Source organism: Homo sapiens, chromosome 3, assembly GCF_000001405.40.
Source record: "Homo sapiens chromosome 3, GRCh38.p14 Primary Assembly".
NCBI lineage: Eukaryota > Metazoa > Chordata > Mammalia > Primates > Hominidae > Homo > Homo sapiens.
The window spans coordinates 33,849,892-33,877,224 of NC_000003.12; the positions used below are offsets into that span (position 1 = coordinate 33,849,892).

Sequence of the window (27,333 nt, forward strand, 5' to 3'; positions counted from 1 at the left end):
ACAAGTTCGTTCATAAATTCGTTGTTTGAAATGGCATTTTTTTTTCCCCAGAAAGTTAGAATTATTGCATTTTTGAATATCACAGAATTTGTTAACTATTTGACCCTCTCTGTATCAGTCTGGTTGGATACCATGGAAGTTGTGGTTAGCTTTTCTTCCTAATCTAAGTAATATGATTGAATACTTACCCTTTGTTAGAAGTTATGTTGAGCACTTTATATAGATTATCTCAGTCTGCACAACAGTCCTGAAATAGGTACTATTATGCCCATTTTGCAGTTGTGAAAATTGAATTTTCTTAGTAGTAACCTGTCCTTGATTGCACAGTAACTAAGTCCATTATGGTCTCTAAGGGAGTATAGTCAGAGTTGAAGTGTTTTTTATTTTCTATGTAATTACATTTTTTTATGTAATTACGTTTCACTTTGTTAGACCCATTTGTTTCCATATTCAAGTTTTGAACTTAATCTCGTTTTTTGAGTGTGTAAAAAATGTTCATGATTCAAAAGGTACATACAGAGAAGCCTCATTCCTTTTCCCTCTACTTCTTTCCTGTATACTTGCTGTAAGTAACCATATTCGTTAGTTTCTGGTTTGTCCTTACTGATTTTCTTTTTGCAAGAACAACAACAAACAACCCCCACCCCAAATTATGCATACATATGTATACATATATACATATTATGTATATGTATATTTATTTTCTGATTTTCCTTCTGTCTTACTCAAATTGCAGCATACTGTATATGCTTTTGTATCCTTTTTTTCTCATTTAATAATATGTCCTGGAAGTCACTTGGAAGGAAACTTTTATTCACATCGTCTGATATCAAGTTCTGCTAGGTCTTTAAACAGACTTTGTCATATCCACCCACGTATGATTCTTTCTCCTCCTCCTTCCTTTTAGAGTTTCTGTGGTTTGATGCTTTCTAGACTCTAGGAATCATATTTCTTTCTCTTTCCACAGCCTTCTCCCCTGTACCCTCTTCTTTCCCTCCCTCCCTTTCTCCTTCCCTTCCCCCTTCCTTCCTCTCTTCCGCCCCTCCCTCTTCTGTTCCTTTCCTTTCCTTCCATTTTAAAATTAGGATGTTTAGGAGATATGGATGTAAACAAGGCCAAAAAGGAAATTCACCTACATTTAGCAGAAACCTCGAGTCTCTGGTCTTCACAAAGGGATGTTACTTTGGACATTCCTATCAAGGAGCTAACTAAGACTGTGGAAGAAAGAGTAGAATAGGAATTTTTAGAAACAGGCAGTTGGTAGGGGAATCCATGGGAATTGGAATTGCTGCTGGTAGTGAGAAAGACAGGGGTGGAGACAGGGCTCGTGATGTCCTCTTCTTCCTTTGTCTTTCCCCCAGTTTTCTTTCTATGAGCATCATTGGGGCAAGCAGAATAGAGAGATTGGGTTGATGTTCTTGGTGGTCTTAGCAAAGTATGAAGAGATGAGTGAAAGGGGCAGCTTGAAAGTGCTCATTAGAAGGCACTTGAACACTATGAATATGAAGGGGTATTTATGAATCAGGTGGGTATAGGTCAGAGAGTGTCTTGACTGAATACAAGAGATAAATCTCTGTTTTGTTTTTGTATTTTGTTTTGAGACAGGGTTTCTCTCTGTCACCCAGGCTGGAGTGCAGTGGCATGATCATGGCTCACTGCAGCCTTGACCCACTGGGCTGAAGCAATTCTCCTGCCTCAGCCTTTGGAGTAGCTGTGACTGCAGGTGCACACCATTGCACCCAACTAATTTTTTTTTTTCAATGTAGAAATGGGGTCTCACTTTGTTGCCTAGGCTGATCTCGAACTCCTAGGCTTAGGTGATCCTCCTGAAGTGCTGGGATTGCAGGCATGAACCTCTACATCTGGCCTAAAACTCTTAATGGTATGAAGAGAGGCACAAGAACCCTCTTTCCTTTTCCTCTCCCAGTATATAAAATAAATGTGGTATATACACTTATATCTGTATCTTTCTCTATTTCTTTCTCCATCTACCATGCTTGCTTCATAGCTGTCTCTATTTCTGTCTTCACCTCTGTTTCTCTATATCTCTCTCAGTCTCTCTAGGCAAAATAGGATATCTACTTACCTAGCAAAATCATACCTTCCCCTGCTTCACAGCCATGATTGGGAGGGAGTAGAATGTAGAGTGGCTAAGAGATTGGTTTTGGAACTAGTCAGACTTAGGTCTCAAATTTCACCTCTGCCCCTTAGTAGCTGTATAACCATGTCACTTAATTTTTCTGAGACTCGTTATCCCTATCTTTGGAATAGAGGTCATAAATATATATACCCCATGGGGTATTGTAAGGAATATATGAAATTATATTTCTGAAGTGTTTTAGCATGGTGCCTAACACATAAGAGTTCAGTAAATTGTAGATGTTGGCTATTGTTATTAATGCTGCTTTTGTTTTAATATGAGTCAACTGAAGGTACAGTGTCTATCTATATAAACCTGACGTTCAATTTATATTTGGCTCTCTGAGAAATCATCTCTCTCTCAGCCCGAATGAACCTTTATATATTATTTCCTTCTCGAAATTGGCTTTTTTTTTTTTTTTTTTTGCAGTTAAACTAAGGTGTCTTTTTTGTTTAGGTTGTAAATGTCTTAAAATCCTTATTGTCAAATCTTGATGAAGTAAAGAAGGAAAGAGAGGGTCTGGAGAATGACTTGAAATCTGTGAATTTTGACATGACAAGCAAGTTTTTGACAGCCCTGGCTCAAGATGGTGTGATAAATGAAGAAGCTCTTTCTGTTACTGAACTAGATCGAGTCTATGGAGGTCTTACAACTAAAGTCCAAGAATCTCTAAAGAAACAGGAGGGACTTCTTAAAAATATTCAGGTGAAATTTATATATTTAATAAGATCTGTGTTTTAAAAATTACAGAAAAGATATGTCTGGACTAAACCTATATTCAGTTAGGAAAATGACATTGGAGAATATCTGTAGTTAAGAGTAGAACTTAATACATGTATATTTTGTAAAATTAAACTTGGCACATCAGTTTTATCTATGAAACAAAGTCACTTCTTTTTTTTTTTTTTTTGAGATGGAGTCTCTCTCTGTCGCCCAGGCTGGAGTGCAGTGGCGCGATCTTGGCTCACTGCAAGCTCCGCCTCCCGGGTTCACGCCATTCTCCCGCTTCAGCCTCCCGAGTAGCTGGGACTATAGGCGCCCGCCACCACGCCTGGCTAATTTTTTGTATTTTTAGTAGAGACGGGGTTTCACCATGTTAGCCAGGATGGTCTCGATCTCCTGACCTCGTGATCCTCCTGCCTTGGCCTCCCAAAGTGCTGGGATTACAGACGTGAGCCACCATGCCCTGCAGAAACAAAGTCATTTCTATGGCTAAAATGTTGCATATTACTTAGGAGTGCTTGATACTTCAGATATTTTTCATGGTTCCAAGTTTTTAATAGCTTTGGTTTTTTTTCCATATGGGAGGAAAATCGAAATTAGTTGGAATTACTGATACCTTTAATTGTATGGCTAACATACATACAGACTTCAGTCATTTTTTAAAAAAATAATGCAAAGTAAATATGTTGAGAAGTTTGAAGTTAGTTTTCGTGTTTACAGATAGGTAGTTTGGACTAACAAATACTTGAAAGTTTGCCCTTTTAATAGTTAATATGCAAAATTAAACATATATTTCTACTCCTAAACATTGTATCTATATATGATATAAAATAACTCCAAAAGGTAAAATAATTTTCATGTTATATTTTTTACAAGTGTTATATACTAATAGAAATCTGTGATCATTATTGGTTGTTTTGACTCCTATTGGATTTTTGAAATTTTTACTTAAGAAAGATTTAAAGCATAATGAGGCTTCAAAAGAGTGTACTAGGTATTCTAGTAATTTTGCATATGTATTTAATTACATATGATTTTCATAATTGGAAAAGATCAATAAAAATGTTATGAGCTATATTAATTTTATAAATAAATGTAAATATGTAAATCTTTCTTTTAACAAGGTCTCACATCAGGAATTTTCAAAAATGAAACAATCTAATAATGAAGCTAACTTAAGAGAAGAAGTTTTGAAGAATTTAGCTACTGCATATGACAACTTTGTTGAACTTGTAGCTAATTTGAAGGAAGGCACAAAGGTATGAAGTACATGCAAAAGGAACCATAGCTAGCAAGTACAGATGTGAACGCATAGTTTGGAAGTTAAGTGGTATTTCCAGTTGAACCAAATTGCTCTTTGCCTAGAATTTTAGCTTTAATGCCATTGCTGCTGCGAAGTTTGTTATAGGAGGGAGAAAGCTTAATGAAGGTGGCAACATTTCATGGGAACTTTGAAGAATGAATTGCATATTTCAACTGGCAGAAAAGGGGTATAAATATTCCAGGTAGCAGGAATTAGCAGAGATGTCAATGACACCTTTTTAAGGGATAGGAAGTTGACTAATTTGATGAATTTTGAGGGGCAGGAGTAGTCAAAGCTGATTTGTGATGGAAAAGCGGAGGGGCATGACTTTTATGTTCTCTGCGGTGGTTTGCTGAGGACAGACTTGTGGCCTGCCCAAGTGTCAGAAGGCTTACTGAATATGTAAGTACTTTCTTGCCTTGTCCTTTAAAAAGTTTAGGGAATTCGCTTATATTTCTTTTTACCAATTTGTTTTTGAGGGAACAGTGATTTTTAAGTTTTTTCAGATGCATAATTCCTTTTGGTACTTAACTTCATAATAATCACTGAATAAAGTTACCTTGATATAAATACAGTAGGTAAAATGTAAAACCCTCTGAAGAGAGGGTGAAAATACTGCAAAGCCTTCCAAATAGAGAGGATAGTAAAATGCCATTTTAATTTGGTTTAAAATGCTTTGTTTAAATAGGTAAGCTGAGAAAACCCTCCAGAGAGCCTTTAGAAATTCTTTTAAGGGTTTCTGAAGTATGCTTGCATTTCTGTAGTGAATTTGAAAACCTAATCCTTCCACTTAAATAGGTTTAATGTTATTAAACAATTGACTTTTCTCTAGGAATTAGGAAGGTTTTCATGATCATGAATCTTTTAACTTGTTACATTTTTTATGATAATGTTCTGTAAAAATGCTTTTATTATTTTTATTTTCTTTAGGAGTCTTAGATCATATTTAATATTAAGTTGTTGGGCCTAGTAAATTGTATAAATGTATCTCATGCAGATCTCAGTTCTTCGGCTCTAACTATCATTGACAAATTAGCTTTAGATCACATTACTCTCTGGATTAAAAAATTGTTCTTGTTCCTTACTTGTATTTGTTCTTTGCTTATAGTTTTACAATGAGTTGACTGAAATCCTGGTCAGGTTCCAGAACAAATGCAGTGATATAGTTTTTGCACGGAAGACAGAAAGAGATGAACTCTTAAAGTAAGTCTGTTTTGTGTACCAAATTGTACTTAAAGAATTTTCTTTTAAAAAATCATGTAGAGACTTTTGGTATGAACTTGGTAGTATGAGATAGCAATTTTCCTCTTCTCATGGAAGAAGGAACTAGATAGAGTATTTTACAAAGCAACAAGTAAACAGCTGCATAATCTGGGAATGAAAGGATGAAAAGAAGCAGAAACTCTAGATGCAGGAAGTACAGTGAGGTCACAGAAATGATAAAAACAGTTCAGGTGGCAGATCTCAGGAAGTGCCAGTAAATACAAGCAATTTATTTTGAAGTGGCAAATAGGTTCCTTACATAAAACTAGAGCTATAGAACATGGAGGAGACAGCATGAATAGCTCAGAGAATACCAGCAAAATCACTTTCAGAAGGAGGCTGCTGAGAAAGCAGGGCCAGTTAACATACGACTCATTTCCTGCTGAGTAATCAATACAGAGTAGCACAGTGCTGATAAAAGGTGGAAAACATTAACAAAATTTAATAAAACTTCATAGATGAAGAACATTTACCAAAATAATATTGTCACAGAATAGGTGAAAATTATGAGCAAACATCTGACCATGAGCTAAACAAAAACAACAACAACAACAAATGTAAGGAGGCAATCATTCTAAGGCCGGGGTCCCCAATCCTGGGGCCTTGGACTGGTACTGGTTCGTGGCCTGTTAGGCACTGGGCTGCACAGTAGGAGGTGGGTGGCAGACAGGCGGGCAGCTGGGCGAGTATTACTGCCTGAGCCCCACCTCCTGTCAGATCAGCCACAGCATTAGATTCTCATAGGAGCGCAAACTCTATTGTGAACTGCCCGTGTAAGGGATCTAGGTTGTGCATTCCTTATGAGACTCTGACTAATGCCTGATGATCTGAGGTGGAACAGTTTCATCCTGAAATCATCTTCCGCTCCCCTGTGGAAAAATTGTCTTCCATGAGACCGGTCCCTGGTGCCAAAAAGGTTGGGGACTGCTCCTCTAAGGAACACTTTGAGCAGAAATTCCAGAACTGCAGGAATATGGTAAGAAAACAGGAAGTGATAAGATGTGAGGTGTCAGAATTCAGGAAAGAAGTAGAAGGGAAGAATAAAACCGTGACATGGGAAAGAGCACAAAGGGCGAATAAACACTAAAGAACACACAGGAACACAGAGTAGAAATGAGGAAATTAAAATGAAACCAAAGTCAAGAAAGAATTAGAGAGAAAATGGGCACAGAAGATCTAATATAGGCAAAACTGAATTTCTCTCAGAAGAAAAACCAGATAGAACAGTTATTTAACGTTCTGTAAACAGAACACTTATTTAATGATACTCAAGAACATTTTCTTAAGTGAAGATTGTTGAAAGAGGATATCATATGGTAGGGGAAAATGACAAGAACTGTCAGCATCAAGGCATATAAATTATTGGCCTTAAAAGATAATGGCAGAATCCTTTAGGCAGTCAGGCAAAACAGTCAAGCCAGTTTATAAAAAGGTGAAAAAAATTAGGCTGGCAGCTCTGTATGCCAGAAGAGAGTGGAGTGATTGCTGTAATCTCAAGGATAGTAAATATGAGCTAAAGATTTTATATCATATAGTAAATACATGCTAAAGATTTTATATCCAGACTGTCTTTTGGGTACATAAAAAGCCATATATTCATTAGTAATAAATATAAAGAGCTGAAAGAGTCTTATACCGATGACCCTTTCAGCCAACTAGATCTTTATTCATCTCTCTGTTCATATTCATGAACAGAGAATGAACATGTTCATGTTCATTCACCTCTCTGCTCATGTTCATGAGAGAAGTTATTTTCTTCTACCTCTAACAAAGAGCAGGTTAGTTGTTTTTAGAATATTTCTACTAAACCTATAAAAAGCAAATAATTAGAATGTTTTAAAAATGGTTCTAAATGTTTAAAAAAAGGTGATTTTTTTTTAGATGGAGTTTTGCTCTGTCGCCCAGGCTGGAGTGCAGTGGTGCAGTCTTGGCTCACTGCAACCTCTGCCTCCCGGGTTCAAGCAGTTCTTCTGCCTCAGCTTCTTAAGTAGCTGGCATTACAGGTGTGCACCACCACGCCTGGCTAATTTTTGTATTTTTAGTAGAGACAGGGTTTCACCATGTTGGCCAGGCTGGTCTCGAACTCCTGACCTCAGGTAATTGGAATTATAGGGGTGAGCCACCCCCCCAGCCTAAAAAAAGATGAGTATTCTCCATATTAGTCTTAATGATAAAAAAACCTAACAAAGATTAATACAAAACAGTCTACAGACCAGTTTCAGTTATGAATATGGATGCAGAAGTCCTAAATAAAGTATTTGCCAGTAATAGTCACCAGGACGTTAAAAAATAATTATTGACCAAGGGGAGGGGGGCATTTATTCCAGTTTCAGTATTCAGTATTTTCACATCAAAGGAAAGATCACAGGTTTGTCTTAATAGATGAGGCAGAAGCATTTGAGAAAATGAGTGTTCTGATACTCAGTAAAATAAGAATAGATAGAAGATAGATGCTTCCGTAACATGAAAATATATATATGTATGTGTGTGTATATATTTCTGCCCAAAACTCAGTATAGTGATTAATGGAGAAGCACTATAAACAGTTCCCTCTGAAGTCAAGAACAGACAACAAATGTCACTGTCAGCACTATTTTTAAATACTATACTGCAGTACCAGCCAAGACAATCACATGAGAGAGAAATTAAAAAATTGGAAAGGAAGAAGTAAAACTAGCACTATTTACAGACATTATGATTGTACAACTACTTGAAAACCCAAGAGAACCCCAAAACTCTGCAAATAATAAAATTATTATTACTGAAGTTGTTGATCATAAAAATAATTTGTAGAAATCAGTGGCTTTCATGTAAATAAACCTATAGAGGATAAGATGAAGAGACCCACTTACAGTAGCAACAAAAAGGATAAAATATAAAATATAAGTTTGTCATATATGAGACCTATGTGAAGAAAACAGTATTTCAAAAAGAAGGCTTGAGCAAGTTAAAAAACATGTTCTTGGACAGGATGACTCAACTTCATAAAGATGTCAATTCTAAGTTAACTTATGCATCAACTGGGCGTGATGGCATGCACTTCTAGTCCCAGCTACTTGGGAGATTGAAGTGGGAGGATGGTTTGAGCCCTAGAGTTCTAGGTTGTAGTGCGCTATGATTGTACCGTAAATAGCCACTGTACTCCAGTCTGGGCAACAGTGAGACCCTATCTCTAATAACAAACATAAATAAAGAAATAAACATATGCGGCCAGGCGCGGTGGCTCACGCCTGAAATCCCAGCACTTTGGGAGGCTGAGGCGGGCGGATCACGAGGTCAGGAGATCGAGACCATCCTGGCTAACACGGTGAAACCCCGTCTCTACTAAAAATACAAAAAACTAGCTGGGCGTGGTGGCGGGCGCCTGTAATCCCAGCTACTCGAGAGGCTGAGACAGGAGAATGGCGTGAACCCGGGAGGCGGAGCTTGCAGTGAGCTGAGATTGCACCACTGTACTCCAGCCTGGGCAACAGAGTGAGACTCTGTCTCAAAAACAAAAACAAAACAAAACAAAAGAAATAAACATGCATTCATATGCTTTTGATATGCAAACATGCTTTTGATATGCAAACATGCTTTTGATTAAAAAAAATCAGCAGCTTTTCATTTGGAATTAGACAAGTTGATCCTAAAGTTCAAGTAGAAAAAGAAACAAGGTCAGCCAGGAAAACAATAAAAAGAGTAGTGAAGGAATACTAGTTCTACCAGATATTAAGGTATATAATACCATATTTAATTAAAACACAGTGGTACTGGTACATGATTAGACAAAGACAGAATAGAAAATAGAAATAGATTCAAATACATACGTGAATTTAGTGTAAAAGATCTTCAGCCAACCAGAAGAGGTGGACAACTGCCCAGCCATTTAGAAAATAAAAGTTATCTTTATACCAGAGTAAGTTCTGAGTGGACCAAACTTGAAATTTGTAAATGAAATATAAGGTGTAAAATAGAATGGAGGAGAATTCCGTAATAAAGCTGGGATGAGCAGGATCTAATAACTCCTACTTAAAATCCAGAAGCCATTAAAAAAAAAGAAAAGAATAAGTTTCTCATAGAAATATGATAAACAGAGTCAGGATATGACAAATTGGGAATCCAATATTTGAAACTTATTCACAGGCAAAAGGCTAATTTACTTTATTTAGAAAAGAACTCCTAGAAGTGAACGAGAAGAAAACCCAATAGAAAACTGAGGAGAAGACGCAAACAGAATTTTGCAGACAAGGAAATACAAATGGCTCTTAAATAAATGAAAAAAAATGAATACCCTCATTCATTATAAAATACAAATTAAAATTAGTCTGAAGTAATATTTTTCAGATTGGCAAGAATCTGAAAGTTTGATAATATGCTTTGTTGTCACATGTTGGAGAAATAGATTTCATACATTGCCGTGAGAATACCCAATGGTGCAATCCTTGTGTTGGGCATTTTAGCTGTAAAGAATAATAAGACTGCAAATTCAAACATCCTTTAATCCAGCCATTCTGTTTTTGGGAGTCTATTCTGAGGATATATTAGAATATGCTAGAAATGACATATTTATGAGCTTATTCATTTCTACATTGCAAATAGCAGTAAAAAAGTAGAAACAAAGTGACCAGGGCTGGTGAAATAAAGCTATACTTGTATAGTGAAATGCTGTGCAGCTATTTTAAAAATCAGGGTGTTTTCAATTTACTGATATGGAAAGATCTCCAAGATAGTTATGGTAAAAAGACACAGAACAGTGTGTAGAGTATGTTTTGTGTAAAAAGGAAGAAAATAACAAATATAGAAATTGGCTTGTTTACGCACAAGGAAGCTCTGGATATTCTAAGGAAGAAAGATTGGAATATCGTCATTTAAAATATTTTATATTTCATATATCTAATTTAAAAATCAGGTTTGTTGTAAACAAGTATATATTTTATTTACACTTGTCAAGTATTTTCAGCTCAGTGATTGAAAGGTGAATGAAAGATGGAAAAGTAGGCCATATAATAATATTAGCTTTTGAATATCTGAGAGTTTATTTTGTTAAAGTCGTTGTTAATACTGAAGGCCAAAATCCTTTGAAATCTTACTGGATATAATGTATACCGGAAAAGTATACATAAGTGTGTATCTTGTTGAATGTTCACAAACTGCGTACACCCAGGCAACCAGCACTTAAATCAATACACAGAAAATTCTCAGCACCCTAAAAGCATTGTTAATGCATCCACCCAGTCAGTCAGTCTTTATCTTTCTTTTCCAGGGCAACCGCTATCCTAACTTGTAAGAACATAGATTACTTTCTCCTGTTTTTGCATTGTATATAAATAGAATCACATATTATGTACTCTTCCATGACTGGCTTTTATTCTACATTATATTTGTGAGATTCATCAGTATAGTTGTGTGTATTTGTAGATCTTTTATTCTCATTTCTGCATATATTTTATTATGTGAATGTACAAGTTATTTATTCTACTGTTGAATATTTTGAGTAGTTGCCAGTTTTGAGCTTTTATAAATAGTGCTGGCATGAATGTTGTAAATCACTGCTGTCCAGTATTGCTGGTAGCAGTAAAAATATGGAAACAAGTCAAATGTCTGGTTCTGGTTAATTAAATAAAACTACATCTATATGGTGAAGTACTATGCAGTGACATATGCAATTGAAAATGTAAAATTTGTAGTAGCCGTAGTTAAAAAAAAAAAAACAGGTGAAATTAATTTCAATATTTCATTTAACCCAGTATGTCCAAAGTATTATTTTAACATATAATCAATGTAAAATTACAAATGAGAGATATTTTACTTTTTTTCACACTAAGTCTTAGAAATCTAATCTGTATTTTTTTTTTTTTGTGAGATGGAGTCTTGCTCTGTCGCTCAGGCTGGAGTGCAGTGGCACGATCTCGGCTCACTGCAACCTCCGCCTCCTGGGTTCAAGCAATTCTCTGCCTCAGCCTCCCGAGTAGCTGGGATTACAAGCGCCCACCACCAAGCCCAGCTAATTTTTGTATTTTTAGTAGAGACGGGTTTCACCATCTTGGCCAGACTGGTCTTGAACTCCTGACCTCCTGATCCACCCGCCTCGGCCTCCCAAAGTGCTGGGATTACAGGCGTGAGCCACCGAGCCCGGCTTAATATGTATTTTATACTTACAACACATCTCAATTCAGAGTAGCCACATTTCAGATGTTTGATAGTCATGTGTGGCTAATGGTTACTGTATTAGACAGTACATGCTTTTGGTGAGCATGTTATATGCAGTGCTGTTGGGTATATATCGAGGTCAAAGGATATGTGTGTATGCTCAGTTGATATTGTCAAATAGTTTTCCAACGTGATTGTACTAATTTATATTCCTCCTAGCAATATATGAGAGTCCTGGTTGCTCCACATTTTTGCCCTTAGCTATTCTGCTGGGTTTGTAGTATTATCTCATTGTATGATTTTAATTTTTCATTTTCCTGATGACTAATATGTCCTTTTTATATACTTATTAGCTGGAGGCTTTGCTTTTTAATTTCTGTTTTCATTGAAATCTTTCATCAGAAGTTTAAAGCGTTTAAGAAGAATGAATATTTTACTCTGAGCTTTACTTTCTTTTGACTAATGGTTTGAATACTACTGTCAGGTTGTTGGGCATAGTACTAGTGGCATTTTATTTTATATCTTTTTGCTCTTTTACATTATTGATTTTATTTAATAGCATTGATTTATATCTTTTATAAGTGGCTAGGAAATTATCATTTGCTCTATAAATGTGTTATTTACTGCAACCATCCCTAGAGTTTATCAAAGGAAAAGAAAGGTATTGTGTTAAAGCTTTATAATATACGTATATATTTTAGATATTTCAAAATCTGGCCTTTTAGAATTTTGATATTGATTAAAAACTTATTTATTTTATAAGCAGTTATTTACTTAAGAAGTAGTTTTGTTTTTTTTTTTTGATGAATGTATACTAGTTTTCTTTATGTCTGGAGTGACTGGGGCCCTTCTTGAGAGGGAAGGTTGGATGCGGACAGTGTGGGGCTTTGCTGTTAATTGTTAAATCAGGGCAAAAGGTACTGTCTCAGATGTTTTGGGACATGTCATATTTACTTCTTTGTGTACGTTAATCAGTGCAGTGAAAAGATGATTGACATCATGTATTACATGGAGTGCATTTTACCTTAGGTATTGTTTAGTGTGATTTTGGGATAAATTTCAATTTACTGTTAGAGGAGACAGAATTTTCTAATATTTAATACTAAATTGTAATAGTATTTTCAGCAATATATCTTTCATGAGTTTATCTTAGTGACAGGTGATGTGTTATCTTTTAATATAAAATATTTCAACGCCACATTTCTTTGAATATCTTCAGGAAGTTTTTATCTAGAAATTTGCATAATGGTTTGCATAAAAGGTTAGCCTTTTCACCTGTTTTATTTTGTATAAACACTGATATAGTGATTAAAACATTAGCTACATAACTATGAGTCACTGTAGTTTTCTGATAACTTTTAGATAGATGATGTTAGGAGTTTTTTAAATCCAGGGACTACCTTTTATTAGAGGGTGGGCAGTCTTTTAGGATTACTTGCCCAGTTTGACACGTTTCTTACTCTAGCTGTAACTGTGATCTCTGAAAATGTTTACTTTTTCCCCCAGTCTTCAGAAATATAAAAAAGATACAACTTCATTTTATTAAACAATAGGAAGAAAGAGGATTTAGATTCTAGTCAAGAATAAAAATGTAGTATATTTTGTTTTTTTCAGTTTTTGTTATATTGATAAATAATTATACATATTATGGGGTACATGTGATACTTTGATCATGAATACAATGTGTAATAATCAAATCAGGGTAATTAGGATATTCATCACATATTTGTGGGGCACATGTGATATTTTGATACATGAATACAATGCATAATAATCAAATCAAGGCAATTAGGATATTCATCTCAAACGTTTATCATTTCTTTGTGTTGGGAACATTCCAAATCTTCTAGCTATTTTGAAATATACAATAAATTATCATTAACTATCATCACCCTATGCTGCTATTAAACACTAGAACTTATTTATTCTCTCTGACTGTATTTTTGTACCTATTATCCACCCTCTCTTCATCCCCACCCCCTACTCTTTCTTGACTCTAGTAACCATCATTCTACTCTGTCTCCTTGTTTTTAGCTCACACATATGGAGGAGAACATGCAATATTTGTCTTTCTGTGCCTGGCTTATTTCACTTATCATGATGGCCTCCAGTTCCATCCATGTTGCTGCAAATGACAGAATTTCATTATATTTTTTATGGCTGAATAATATTCCATGGTGTATATATACTACACTATATCCATTTATCTGCTGATGGACACTTAGGTTGCATTCATATTTTGGCTGTTGGAAGTGCTGCAATAAACATGGGAATACAGATATCTCTTCAGTATATGGATATCCTTTCTTTAGGATATATACCCAGCAGTGGGATTGTTGGATCATATTGTAGATCTAGTTTTAGTTTTTTGAGGGACCTCCATACTGTTTTCCATAGTCACTGTACTAATTTGAAATGTAGTATATTTTAAAATACCATCATTGTTTGGAATCCATTTTCTATGTTTCATGTATGAAGAAAAGAAAAGCTGATATTTTATGTGTGTTAATTTTTTTCTATCATGTTAATTTTTAACACTCTGTCTTTGATAAGGGACTTGCAACAAAGCATTGCCAGAGAACCTAGTGCTCCTTCAATTCCTACACCTGCGTATCAGTCCTCACCAGCAGGAGGACATGCACCAACTCCTCCAACTCCAGCGCCAAGAACCATGCCGGTTAGTAGGCAAATAAATATTTTAAACAGAGGTTTTACATTAACGATGATTACTTGTTCTAACGGATAAAACATGATTTACATAGGAAGGATCTAGTGGTTACCACCTGCATCAGGTAACCAACCTTCTGATATTTTGCAATATGTAGAACACAGCATCATTCAAGAATTCTTGACAAAAAAATGCTTAACCTGAATGTAATCAAGCCCTTAAACTTTCTGTTTATAGCAAATAAAACAAATGATAAAATAAGAAGTTAAATTATGCTATTAGGAAACAATTGGACAAATCTTTCACATGGGACATTTATATGAAATAACTGAGTTGATCATTTCTAAAAGTGAATGTCATAGATTTTTTAAAAAAGAGGCATATTCTAGATGAAAAGAGATGAAAGTTTCCTTATAATCAAATGCAGTATATGAACTTTATTTGCTTTTGGTTTATAAAAATAGCTATATGAGCTTTTTTGTGTTAATTAGGGGAAAATTGAATTTGGAGTGGATATTTGATGACATTGGGGAATAGCATTAGTTTTTTAAGGATGAAAATGGTATTGTGATTATGTAGGAGAATATCCTTATGAGAACTTGAGTGCTGAAGTCTTTAGGGCTAGTGTCATGAAATTTGCAACTTACTTTCAAATGATTCTGCAAATATATATGGATGTAGTTATAGATAAAGCAGAAATGACAAATGTTAATAGTTGTTGAATTTCATTGGTAGATGTGTGATTATTTTATATACTATTTTTTACAAATTTTCTGGTGTGTGACATTTTTCATGTAAAGTTTGGGGACTAGGAGGAGATGATGGTAGTAAACAGTACCTGTGCTGCTTCCTTCCACCTCAAATGTCCAACCACTGGAGGAAGCAGTAAATGATTAAATATGAGGCACCAGGAAAAGAGCAGTGGCTATGGAGTTTCCACAGGTTGGAAAATTATTCAACTATGATATATTTCTATAGTAATAAGCCGGTATTTAAGAATGGGAATTAAAAATATATTTGGTTGGATTCTAGAGTTTCTCATATGTCCTTATTAATTTTAATTAATAGCAATTTGAGAGAAATATGAAACATTTTATAGTCAATGCTGACTTTTTCTTATAGCCTACTAAGCCCCAGCCCCCAGCCAGGCCTCCACCACCTGTGCTTCCAGCAAATCGAGCTCCTTCTGCTACTGCTCCATCTCCAGTGGGGGCTGGGACTGCTGCGCCAGCTCCATCACAAACGCCTGGCTCAGCTCCTCCTCCACAGGCGCAGGGACCACCCTATCCCACCTATCCAGGATATCCTGGGTAAGGCTGCAACATTGTGTATCCCAAGTTGGCTAATGTTGTTTCTAGGCTCTGGCTAACCTGTTAAAAACAGGGTCATCCCTTCTCCAAATGGAGGTGTCATGAATGAATAAGCTACACTGTCAGCTTATCCAGAAATGAAAATAATGTTATGGTCACTTACATGAATAGGATAGCTATTTCCTAGGCTTTTAAAATTTATGTTTTTATATTTTACATATTGGGTTTATATTAAATAATCTTTTCTGTATTATAGAGTTTAGTAGGTGTTTCCTTGGACTTTAGGTGATAAACAGGTACCTTTTCTGAGCGTAGCATAGCAAAACTGATAAGGCCTTGTTTACGTCCCTATACTTAGAATACTTGGCATTTAATAAACAGTTGAATAGAAATTTATCTAATTATGGGTTGCACTTTCTTAAAGGTTAATCTCTGTGGTAATTTCTTAATTTTAAAAATCCAAACATTTGACTACCTTTTAAGATGTGCTCTAAATTTTACTTAGTAAGTACATGTTGTCTGCCAAATATTAGAACTTTATAAGTTGTAAATTTATGTATATCACAGTGAATATTGAATATTGTGGAAGAGGAATGTATTTAGATGACTAGTTTTGCCACGTTAAAATGAAGGGTCTCCATTTTTTTTCTTTCTTTAATACTCGAATATTTAATCTTATTTTCTTCAGTATTTATTTTTGGATAGTATTAAACACTTGGTACTCTTTTGTTTTAATTAATAACAGGATAGGAATGCTTTTCTCTGACAAGTGCCTTGAAACAGTTTTTTTCACTCCACTGTTCTTTAATAGACTAAAAAATAGAAATGACTTTCATGAAAAACGTAGTTCTAGAATGATTATTGTTTTATTTTTTAGTATTTGATTTACCAATCAAGATTTTTCTGTTTTCTTCTATCAGGTATTGCCAAATGCCCATGCCCATGGGCTATAATCCTTATGCGTATGGCCAGTATAATATGCCATATCCACCAGTGTATCACCAGAGTCCTGGACAGGCTCCATACCCGGGACCCCAGCAGCCTTCATACCCCTTCCCTCAGCCCCCACAGCAGTCTTACTATCCACAGCAGTAATATGTCTGCTCAGCAGCTCAGCTGATTCAGATCAGAGGGAAAGAAATACCAACCCTGCAATAAGTGTACTAAACTCTACGCTCTGGTTAATGTAATGTACTCTCCTGGACTGAATGCAGTGTATAATTTCTGTCTACAGCTAGAAGCTGTGCCCCAGTTCCACATTTGATTACACATGTGAGATTTGCTGCTGTTGCAGTATAAACACTAGGTATAATAGGATTTGAAATTGCATTACAGTTCATAAAAATTGAAAATGAGAAATTAAACCTGCAAGTGAAACATTTGAAACGATTATACTTTCTACATAAGACATGGTTGGGACATCAGATACTTACAAAGATGGTTTAAGTATGGATACTAGAGAAAATTAAGTTTTCTTTCTCTTTGGTTTATTGATTTGGTTTAATTTCCATTATGCTATTTTGCATAATCAAGGCACTGTAAATCTTATAATTTTAAAATAAATTACTTAAGAACAGTTGTCATTGTTATGTTTTGTTATTGATTCTCATTACTGTCTAATTTTTTTTCTGGTATTAGTCTCATTTTGTATGTATATAAGTTAAACAGATACTGTTTTTAAGTGCATGAATAGTACAAGTTATTATCAAGGATGTTTTACAGGGAAATCAAAAGAATATTATCATACTTTATCTTTCGTATGCTGATTAGTAAACGATTTTTGACATTTATTTTAGAAAGTCCTATAATGTGGAAGAAACAAACAGTTGCTACCAAAGATTCTTCAAATAAACATACAAATAAATGTGTATATTTAATGTTTTATTGTTAGCTTCTCCAGAAAATTGATGCAAATTCTGGTAATAATTCTTGCATTTTTTCCCCATAACCTGGTTAAAATAAATACGCCATTGGCAATACTTCATAATGTAATGGAATTGTTTGGGGAACACTTACTGTACCCTCTCATCCTTTTTCCACCTTACTGTGTTAACTTAGTGACATTTAATGCCCAATATGTATGAATAGATCTAAGCCATTTAATTTTTTTTCCTTAAAGATTGGAGTATTTTATAATTCAAGGAGCATACAAAACAATGGTTGGGAACATATGCCAATTATGGAATAGGCTATGTATTTAATATTAATCTCTGCCATTAGGATATCTACTCACTGTATAAACCTCAGTAAAAATAGTGAAGACATGCATCATGGAATGAGAAAATGAGAAAGGAATGAGTTGTCTAACATCACAGTGGGATCTGTTTTTTGTGAGGTTCATTTCTGAACACATTAGGCATATGAGCAGATTTCCAGTGAATCTATTTATGTTTATTTTCTGAGTTTCAACGCTGACCTTTTCTTGCATTATTGTTTCATTTTAATGATAGTGTTACTTGTCCCACTGTTGTTTTCATTGAGTTTGGATTTATATTTTAAATGTTCGAATGAAAGTATGATTGTAAAAGGGAGTGAATTGGTTTAAAAATATATGTATATTTTAAACTTTGTTGTGTGTAGGAAACATGAAGGCATGTTAATTCAATATAAATGACCTTTGATTTCATGGAATATTAAAGTTGGTTTAAAGTCCAATAGTTAAACCTTAGCAAAAATAGCTTTTTACTTCATCAGTTGCTAAGATTTAATACTTTGGATTCATCAAAGTGTGACATGGGCTTGTTTGACTTCTGTAAGTGGCATTTAAGTTCCACATTCTTATTACTTGAGGTACTTTATACTAACATAAGACAGTGAGAGTTAGAGGTATTACAAGTTGCTAGTTTATAATGTCTTACTAATGCAGAAACAAGGAAAAAAGCAAAATTGGCCTGAATATTCTCTTGGGGAAAGAGGGCACCAAAGAAAAGGGTAAGTGCATCTGAGGGCCAAAAGAGATGTATAAGCCTTTTAGCCCATTCCCCATGCTGGGCCTGCTCACAGAGCCACAGGAAGATCATTCAGAAACTAGGAAAGGAGGCCCCCACAGCTGATCCTGCCACAGCACACCTGACTCACTCGGCTCTGTTAGTGTAACCTTTTAAATGTAGCAACACAAACCCTTTCCCTCTTGTCAGTTCACTCATCCTTTGGTTTCTTTTTAATCACCTGTGTCTGGGCACAGACAATCACAATAAATGCAGCCCTTTATTACTGTTAAGGATCATACTGTTGGTTTGGAGTTGGAAGGGTACTACTCTGTGATTCAGGTGTGTTGTACCCATATTTATAATTAGGCTTTATTATCTTCCTAAATCAAGGAAAGGAAATCATCCCCAGACCATTTATGCTGAGCTTTGGAATACTATTTTAAACTGGATTGTACTTAAATAATGAAGCTCTGCATAGAGGAACTAGTCAGAAGTGGGGAAAACACTGTCTAATTTTTATCAGTCTGGTATAAAGTATTGATCTAAGAGAACTCTCCCTGTGCCCCTTGGTCTTTATTCTCAATTAAGAAAAACAGTCACATGTCACGACAAACCAATCAATCTTTATGAGATATTCCTGTATCCATACCCCAGCTTGTTTGCAATTTATAAACCTCCCCTTCAAAACTAAGGAGTTGCAGAAAAAAATGGATTTCACAGAGCCTTGTGTCCCTAAAGTTCTGTCCCAGTCAGCAGTCTTTATAGTCCAAACAGATTATAAAAAATGTTTTCCATTTGAACTTTACAGTTTGCAAAAGTGCTTTTATACATTTTCTAATTTCAGAAACAGGATAATTTGTTAAGTGGGTTTCAGTTTGCTAATAGGGATTTTTTGTGTTTTGTTTTTTAATTTTCAGCATCTCTTGAAGAATCTTGCTACAGCCAAATGGCATCTCACTTTTTAAAGACGTTTGCAATTATTAGTTGATTCACAGTACAGAACAAGGTATAAAGGAAAAAACCCTGCTAGGTAGTGTTATAATTGCTAGATTAAAAATAGACTAGAACAGGTTCATTTTAAGATTTACTTGGAAGAGCAAAGAAGGAAAAATTATATTTTTAAAGAAAGAGAATATTCAGGCTTTATTTCTGGTATGAAGTTTATATTTTTTAAAAAAATCCTATATTATCACACCAGAGATTTTAGATTCTTTTCTGGTTAGAAACATTGCTGGTAGTTGGATTATATTTTTATTGTATTCATTTATCTTAGGGGGAACATTGTAAAGAAACAAAAAGGTCCAGATGAATGTATGCTAGAAATAAAAGTTGAAAGATTCTTACTTCTTTGGAGTATGAATTCTTATTTAAAGTGTTTATTCTTCAGCTTTATAGTTTCCATTATTTCTTTGACAAATGGTGAATTGGAAAATGTAAAAAAAATACCCACTTTGACTAAATGCATGAGACTACAAAAGGAAGATAGTGTTTAAATTTTTTTTTTTTCACACCTGCAACCTGATAATTTAGCGGTCATGGATGGGCCATGTTTTTCATTGCTTATGTGATTTACTCTAGGAGTATTCTTTTCAAATACCACTTTTTAGGTTAATTTTTGGAAATGATCAGCAAGATTACTATACTCATCAGCTGATGAGGGGAAGGGGGATGGGTTCTGCTGCATCCCGAGTGAAGATGACTGAGAAGCTGTGTGCTTGGCCTGCTTTAGTATTTACTGCTATCACAGGGCAGGATTGGCTTAGGAACTCCCTGTGAGCAGACCGACTACAGCCTGTGAACCAGAGGGCTTCATGCCACCGAGCCTCAGACCACAGGCTACTGCCAGTCAGTGTCCCTGCCCAATGACCGGTCTTGCCTTTGTAAGTTATCAATTTGGGGCACATCCAAGCTGTCTGCCTTTTCTCCTCATTGGTGCTGTGCAAAGGATCCTGGCTTCTCTCAGTTCTGTGGCTCCCGCGATCCTTTCTGCTTAAAAGTTGCGTAAGTTATGAACACAGGTGATACAGGTGAAGAGGTTCAAGTCTATTACCATTGTTTTTAAGTGTTCCTATATTTTTAACTGTTTTAAGCTTTACACACTTTGAAGCCCACATGATTCGCACTCATCAAGTATGTCTTTATTGTGAACATGAAGTGGCCCTTTTCCATCTTGCAGTATATTCTATTTTTTGAGGCGAGTTCTCGCTGTTGCCCAGGTTGGAGTGCGGCGGTGCTATTTTGGCTCTCTGCAGCCTCAAACTCCTGGGCTCAGTCAATTCAACCTCCTCAGCCTCTTTAGTAACTGGGACTACAAGCACCTGCCACCATGCCCAGCTAATTTTTTTTTTGTGGAGATGGAGGTTTCACCATGTTCCCCAGGCTGGCCTTGAACTCCTCAGCTCAAGCGACCCACCTGCCGCGACCTCCCAAAGTGTTAGGATTACTAATAGGCATGAGCCATTGCACCCGGCTACTGTTTTATATGACTACTCTTGTTTTGTTTTTGGATGCATTAGCAGGTTTTCTAACCTAATGTGTGCACCTGCTTTAGTTTTAGATGTTTAGATTTAGTTACTTGACTCAACCTTTTTTTTTTTTTTAGTAATTTAAAAGGGAAGTTTAACAATTTTGGTAAAATTAAATGATCTGATATTTTTGTCTGATACAAATATTTTATCCTTTCTATTTTCTATATCTGTCATTGCTTGGATTATGTGTTCTTTTATGTTTCCTAGTTGTTTGAAATATTGTTTATTACCTATAATTTTTGAAAGCATTAATATTCTTTTTTTCCTTCTCAGCCATATGTTGTTTCTTAAAAAGTAGGGGATGGGCTGGGCCCGGTGGCTCACGCCTATAATCCCAGCACTTTGGGAGGCCGAGGTGGGAGGATCACCTGAGGCCAGGAGTTCGAGACCAGCCTAAGCCAACATGGTGAAACCCTGTCTCTACTAAAAATACAAAAAATGAGCCAGGTGTGGTGGTGGGCGCCTGTAATCCCAGCTACTCAGGAGGCTGAGGCAGGAGAATCGCTTGAACCTGGGAAGCGGAGACTGCAGTGAGCTGAGATCGCACCATTGCACTCCAGCCTAGGCAACAAGAATGAAACTCTGTCTGAAAAAAAAAAAAAAAGGAGGGGGATGGGGAAGGGAAAACTTATAAACAGGGTTTAGGCTCATAATTGCTAATGCACTATTATTTTTACATTGTACATCTCGATTATAATTGTTAATGTTTGCATTTTTTTATTACTCGATTTATAAAATATGTAAACATGGTCTATTATAACTTGGTTATAGCTGGTCCTCTTCTCTTGTTCCCTTCTTGGGATGCTTTTGAACATTCAGGAGGTTTGGTCTTGCCCTCTCTCTTAGACCAGTCTTACTCTGCCTCCAGCCTGTGGGCTTCTCTGTTGCCAGCAGGTGCCAGTGATTCTGGATGAGGAACTCCCTGAGGGGCCAGTGTCTTCTTTTTCCACTGAACCCTGGAAGAAGAGGGGTGCACAAGAATGGCCCCTTCAGCCTTCATCAGCCTCCCACAATGGACTGGGCTGCATAATGTGTTCTTTTTAAAAGTAGTATGTTTTTTGAATAGGCAATACACGGTATAAATTTCAAAAGGTAGAAAATGGTGTATGATAGTAAGTGTCCTTCCTGCCCCTGTCCCTTGACCCAGTTTTCTTCCTTAAGACAGTCTCCACTACCAGGGCGCACAGGGTTCACATTGTATTTAGACTTAACAGCTCCCAGAAGCAGGTGTGTTGTGACCCTCTGTGGAAGGCACACAATGAATTGTGATAGTTGCATCTAAAACTGGAGTTTTATTCTTTCATAGAGACCAAAGACTGTTTTTAGCTAGAGAATTATTTCTAAGTTCAGCTACGCTTGACATTATTAAGAACAGTAACATGTACTGAATCGCTGCCAATTTCTAATCCCACTATGCTTTCATGTTCTTTCAAAATTATCCAAGGTATATATCATAATTTTTTATAAAGATTTGCATTTTAGGCTGATATTTAAGTAGTTTTTCAGCAAGAAACTTGTAACATTGAATCACAGAGAATAGCTATATCTAGAAAGGGAACAGAGCATAACCACATTTAATTCCTTTTGACAACGTCAGGCAGAATAATGGCCTGTCTATGTCCGTGTCCTGTTCCCCAGCACCTGTGAATACGTTAGGCTCTTTGGCAAAGGGGAATTAAGATTGCTAATCATCTGATTTGAAAATAGGGAGATGATTTTGGATTATCAGGCTGAATCCGTGTGATTTCCGTTTCCTAAAAGTGGAAGGAGGAGATGGAAAAAGGAGAAAAGGACAGATGGCAGAATGAAAATGACTTGACCTAATGCTGCTGGCTAAGAAGATGGGGCCATGAGCCACAGAAAGTGGGCAGCTTCTAGAACCTGGGAAAGGGAAGGAAGATTCACCCCTAGATCCTACAGAAGGAAGGCCTACACAGGCCTGTCAGCACCTTGACGTCAGTTCTGTGAGACTAATTTTGGACTTCAGACTTCCAGAACTGTAAGATAAATTTGTGTTGTTTTAAGCCACTAAGTTTGTGGTAGTTTATTATCGTAGCAACAGGAAATAAATTATACTCAGTTTGGTTTATTAGCAACTTCTTTGTTCTGCTCCCTGGGTTATACCGAGTATACTGCATCCTCTAGCTTCTCTCATCAGCAGGAAGGTGGGAATTTACAACACGGTGGTGACTCCACAAAGGCCACGTGGGCCCAGCGTTGGCTGCACCATTCCCTTTAATGAAAGAGTATTTGGTTCCTAAAGGAAGATTCACTTTCTTATTTCTTGTTTCGTATTTTAGGGTCTTTATGTTATTCCCTTTCCATAACAGTGTCTTTTATCACTATTGGGGTTTTCAGAAAGGAAATACAATGTAGATGGAAGTGAGGCGACTGCACAAGGGAAGGCACTTGGAAACAGACCACAGTGCTGTGGAAGAGATATCTGTTGCCTTTTTTTCCTTGTAAGTAATGTGTTACAAAACTTTTAACCATTAGAGTTGAAATTTTTCTCCAGCAAAGATCTGTCTTTACTCAAATTACCTGGTAATGTATGAACTTTTTTTAAAAAACAGATTTTTTTAAGAGCAGTTTTAGGTTTAAAGAAAATAGAGGAGAAAGCATAGAGTTCCCTTATACCCCGCTTACCCCACCCCCTCACAGTTTCTCCTCTTGTTAACATCTTGTATTAGTGTAGCTCACTGATTACAATTGATGACCCAGTATTCACACATTATTATTAACTAAAGTACATAATTTATGTTAAGGCTCATCTTCTGTGTTGTACATCTGTGGATTTTGCCAAATGCATAATGTCATGTATTCACCATCACAGTCTCATATAGAATAGTTTCACTGTCCTAAAAATCCCTTGTGCTCTACCTACTCACCCTTCTCCCCAACCTGGACAACCACTGATCGTTTTATTGTCTGTATAGTTTTGTCTTTTCCAGAATGTCATACAGTTAGAATCATACAATATGTAGCCTTTTCAGACCGCCTTCTTGGCATGTAAGTTTCCTTTGTGCCTTTTTGTGGTTTCATAGCTCATTTCTTTTTAGTGCTGAGTAATATTCCATTGTATGAGAATACTGGATATATCAGTTTGGTTATCCATCTACCTTTTGAAAGACACACTTGTTGCTTCCAGTTTTTGGCATTTATGAATAAACATTAATGTGCAGGTTTGTATGGACATAAAATTTCAACTTATTTGGGTGAGAACCTAGAAGCACAATTCATGGATCATAAAAGACTATGTTTTGCTTTGTAAGAAGCTGCCAAACTGTCTTCTAAGGTTGCTGTACCATTTTGCATTCCCACCAGCACTGAATGAGAGTTCCTGTTTCTCCACATCCTCGCTAGCATTTGGTATTGTCAGATTTTTGGATTTTAGCCATTCTAATAGGTGTGTAGTGGTATATTACTATTTTTAATGTGCAATTTCTTAATGATTTATGACGTTGAGCATCTTTTCACATGCTTATATGCCATCTTGTATCTTTGGTGAGACATCTGTTCAGGACCTCTATCCATTTTTGAATTGGATTTTCTCATTGAATTTTAATGCTTTTTTGGGGTATATTTTAATGTAGTTCCTTTATCAGATGTGTTTTGCAAATATTTTCTTCCAGTTTGTAGAGCAAAAGCTTTTTCACAGAGCAAAAGTTTTTAATTTAATGAAGTCAAACTTACCAGTTCTTTCATGGCTCGTGCTTGTGGTGTTATATCAAATCTATGTCAAACCCTAGATTACCTAGCTTTTATCCTATGTTATATTCTGGAAATTTTGTAGTTTTGTGTTTTATATTTATGTCTATGATCATCTCCTTTACTTTTGAAGGATAATTTTGCCAAATACAGAATTCTAGGTTGGTGATTATTTTCTTTCAACACCGTAAATATTTCCCTTCTCTTCTTACTTGCATTGTTTGTGAAGTCTAATGGAATTCTTATCCTTATTTTTCTATAGGTAAGGCAGGTTTTTCTCTGCTTTCTTTCAAGATTTTCTCTGTCTTTGGTTTTCTGCAAGTTTGAATATGATTTGTTAAAGTGTAGACTTTTCTGTATTTGTCCTGATTCGTGTTCTCCAAGCTTCCTGGATCTGTGGTTTTGTATCTGTCATTAATCCTGGAAAATTCTAATCCATTATTACTTCAAATATTTATTCTTCTCCTTTCTTTCTTCAGCTTCTGGTGTTCTCTTTGTGAATATATTACATGTTATGTTATTGTCCCACAGTTGTTGGCTATTCTGTTCCAATTTTTCATTCTTAGCATTTCAGTTTGGGAAGTTTCTCTTGACATATCTTCAAGCTCACTGAATATTTTCTCATCTGTATCTAGTTTACCAGTGAGCCCATCAAAGGCATTCTTCATTTATATTATAGGGCTTTTGATTTCTAGTATTTTCTTTCATTTCTTTCTTAGAGTTTCGAGCTGTCTGCTTTCATTACTCATCTGTTCTTGCATGCTGTCCACTTTTACATTGGAACCCTTAGCATATTAAGTATAGTTATTTAAAATTCCCAGTCAAATAGTATCAAAATCTTTTCCATATGTAAGTCTTGTTCTGTTGTTTGCTTATCTTTTCAGAGTGTTTTTCTTGCCTTTTAATGTGCCTTGTAATTTACTGTTGAAAGGCAGATTTGATATATTGGCTAAAAGGACCTGAGGTAAACAGATCTTTAGGATAAGGGTTTATGTTTATCTGGCTAAGAACTTGGCTGTGTTTATCACTTACCATAGCTGTAGATGTCTGAGATTTCAGTTTTCTTCAGTGTCCTCATTTTTGTTTTCCCTGTTGTTTTTGGTTTTCCCTAGACATTCTTTCTTAAACAGAGCCTCAGGCTTGCAGTTGTTTCAGCTGTAATCTCTGTTGTCACACAGGAGCCTTATTGATGTGGTGTTGAGGTGTGAGGGTAGAAGTGTTCTATAATCCTGTGATTTGGTCTCAATCTTTCAAGGAGCCTGTGGCCATGGCCTGTGACCCTCACAAGTGCTTCCCAGCTTTTGTTTTACTCCTTAGGTGAGACAGGAAGTTAGTTAAAGGGGGCTGGAGTTGGGTACAGTTGTCTCTGTCAGTATCAGTAGGTGCTTGATTCCAGGACTTCTCACAAATACCAAAGTGCATGGATACTCAAGTCCTTGATATAAAATGGCATAGTATTTGCATATAACCTATGCACATCTTCCCATATACTTTAAATTATCTCTAGATTACTTATAATACCAAATACAATGTAAATGCTATGTAGTTGTTTTACTATATTGTTTAGGGAATAATGACAAGTAAAGAAAGTCTGTACGTGTTCAGTAGTGATACAATTAAAAAAATTTTTTTTTGGTCTAACGTTAGTTGAATTTAGGGATGCAAAACCTATGGACACAGAGTGGGGACTGTATTTCCTTTCCCCTACATTGTAACCAGTATAGTTTCCCTTGAGGGCAAGTGGAGAACAGAATGCTCAGATGGTTACTTTCCCCTTCTGCTGGAAGCATCAGGGGATTTCCCCCAAATTTTCACCACGAGACCCTGGTAGGGCTTTTGCAGGTGAAACTCATGAAAACATGGGGGCCCCTCTGGGCCTGGGCCCCAGGAGTTTTTAACACACAGTCTAGGCCCCACTCAGCTTCCAGCAGTTTGTCCATTACAGTTTTTTTCCTCCTAGATCCTGGCTCCAGTGGCTTCGGCTCCTGCTTCTGTATTTGTCTGTTTCTCCAGTCTTGGGGCTATTTGTTTGCCCTGTGATCTCAATTCTCTGGTGGATTAAAAAAAGAATTGTTGATTTTCAGTTTGTTCAGCTCTTTTTTGTTGTGAGGATGAAGGGGTGGTTGCTGAGCTCTTCACATGTCAGAGCAGAACCCCAGAAGTCCAGATGAGCTTTGGATACAAATACTCAAGCCTTTAGTAAGCTTGGAGGATTTTTCACTTCTCTTCCATGTGCTCTCGACTGCCTTCTGGAATCTCTATTGTTACAGATACTAGATCTCTCCACATGTTTTCTATCTGTGTAGCACATAATAAATGTTTAGTAATGTTAGCTACTATTATTTTTTACCCATTATTTTAATCTTCCACCTTTTTCTTGATTGGAGAAGTTTCTTGAAATAATCTAATTCACAATTCCTTTTTCTGCAGCACTTGGTCTGCCACACACTGTCACCAATGCATTTTAAAAAGTTAGTCCAAGCTTATGGGGTACATGTGACATTTTGATACATGTATATAATGCATTGTGATCAAGCCAGGATATTCAGGGTGCCCATCACCCAAGAACAATACATTTCTGTTAAGCATAACCACCTTACTCTGCGATCAAACACTGAATTTATTCCA

At 36.1% G+C, this 27,333-nt stretch overlaps 1 protein-coding gene across 4 annotated transcripts in view; it reads left to right on the plus strand.

The window, feature by feature from the left end:
* The window catches only part of PDCD6IP (programmed cell death 6 interacting protein), a 71,074-nt gene extending 51,262 nt beyond the window's left edge, over positions 1 to 19,812 (plus strand). For all 4 annotated transcript variants that reach the window (NM_001162429.3, NM_013374.6, XM_011533252.2 and 1 more), the window contains 6 exons: positions 2,597 to 2,845; positions 3,988 to 4,122; positions 5,275 to 5,369; positions 14,115 to 14,238; positions 15,352 to 15,539; positions 16,460 to 19,812. In NM_001162429.3, the coding sequence (NP_001155901.1) occupies positions 2,597 to 2,845; positions 3,988 to 4,122; positions 5,275 to 5,369; positions 14,115 to 14,238; positions 15,352 to 15,539; positions 16,460 to 16,634 (966 nt within the window). In that variant the 3' untranslated portion in view covers positions 16,635 to 19,812. The remainder of the gene's footprint in view (positions 1 to 2,596; positions 2,846 to 3,987; positions 4,123 to 5,274; positions 5,370 to 14,114; positions 14,239 to 15,351; positions 15,540 to 16,459) is intronic.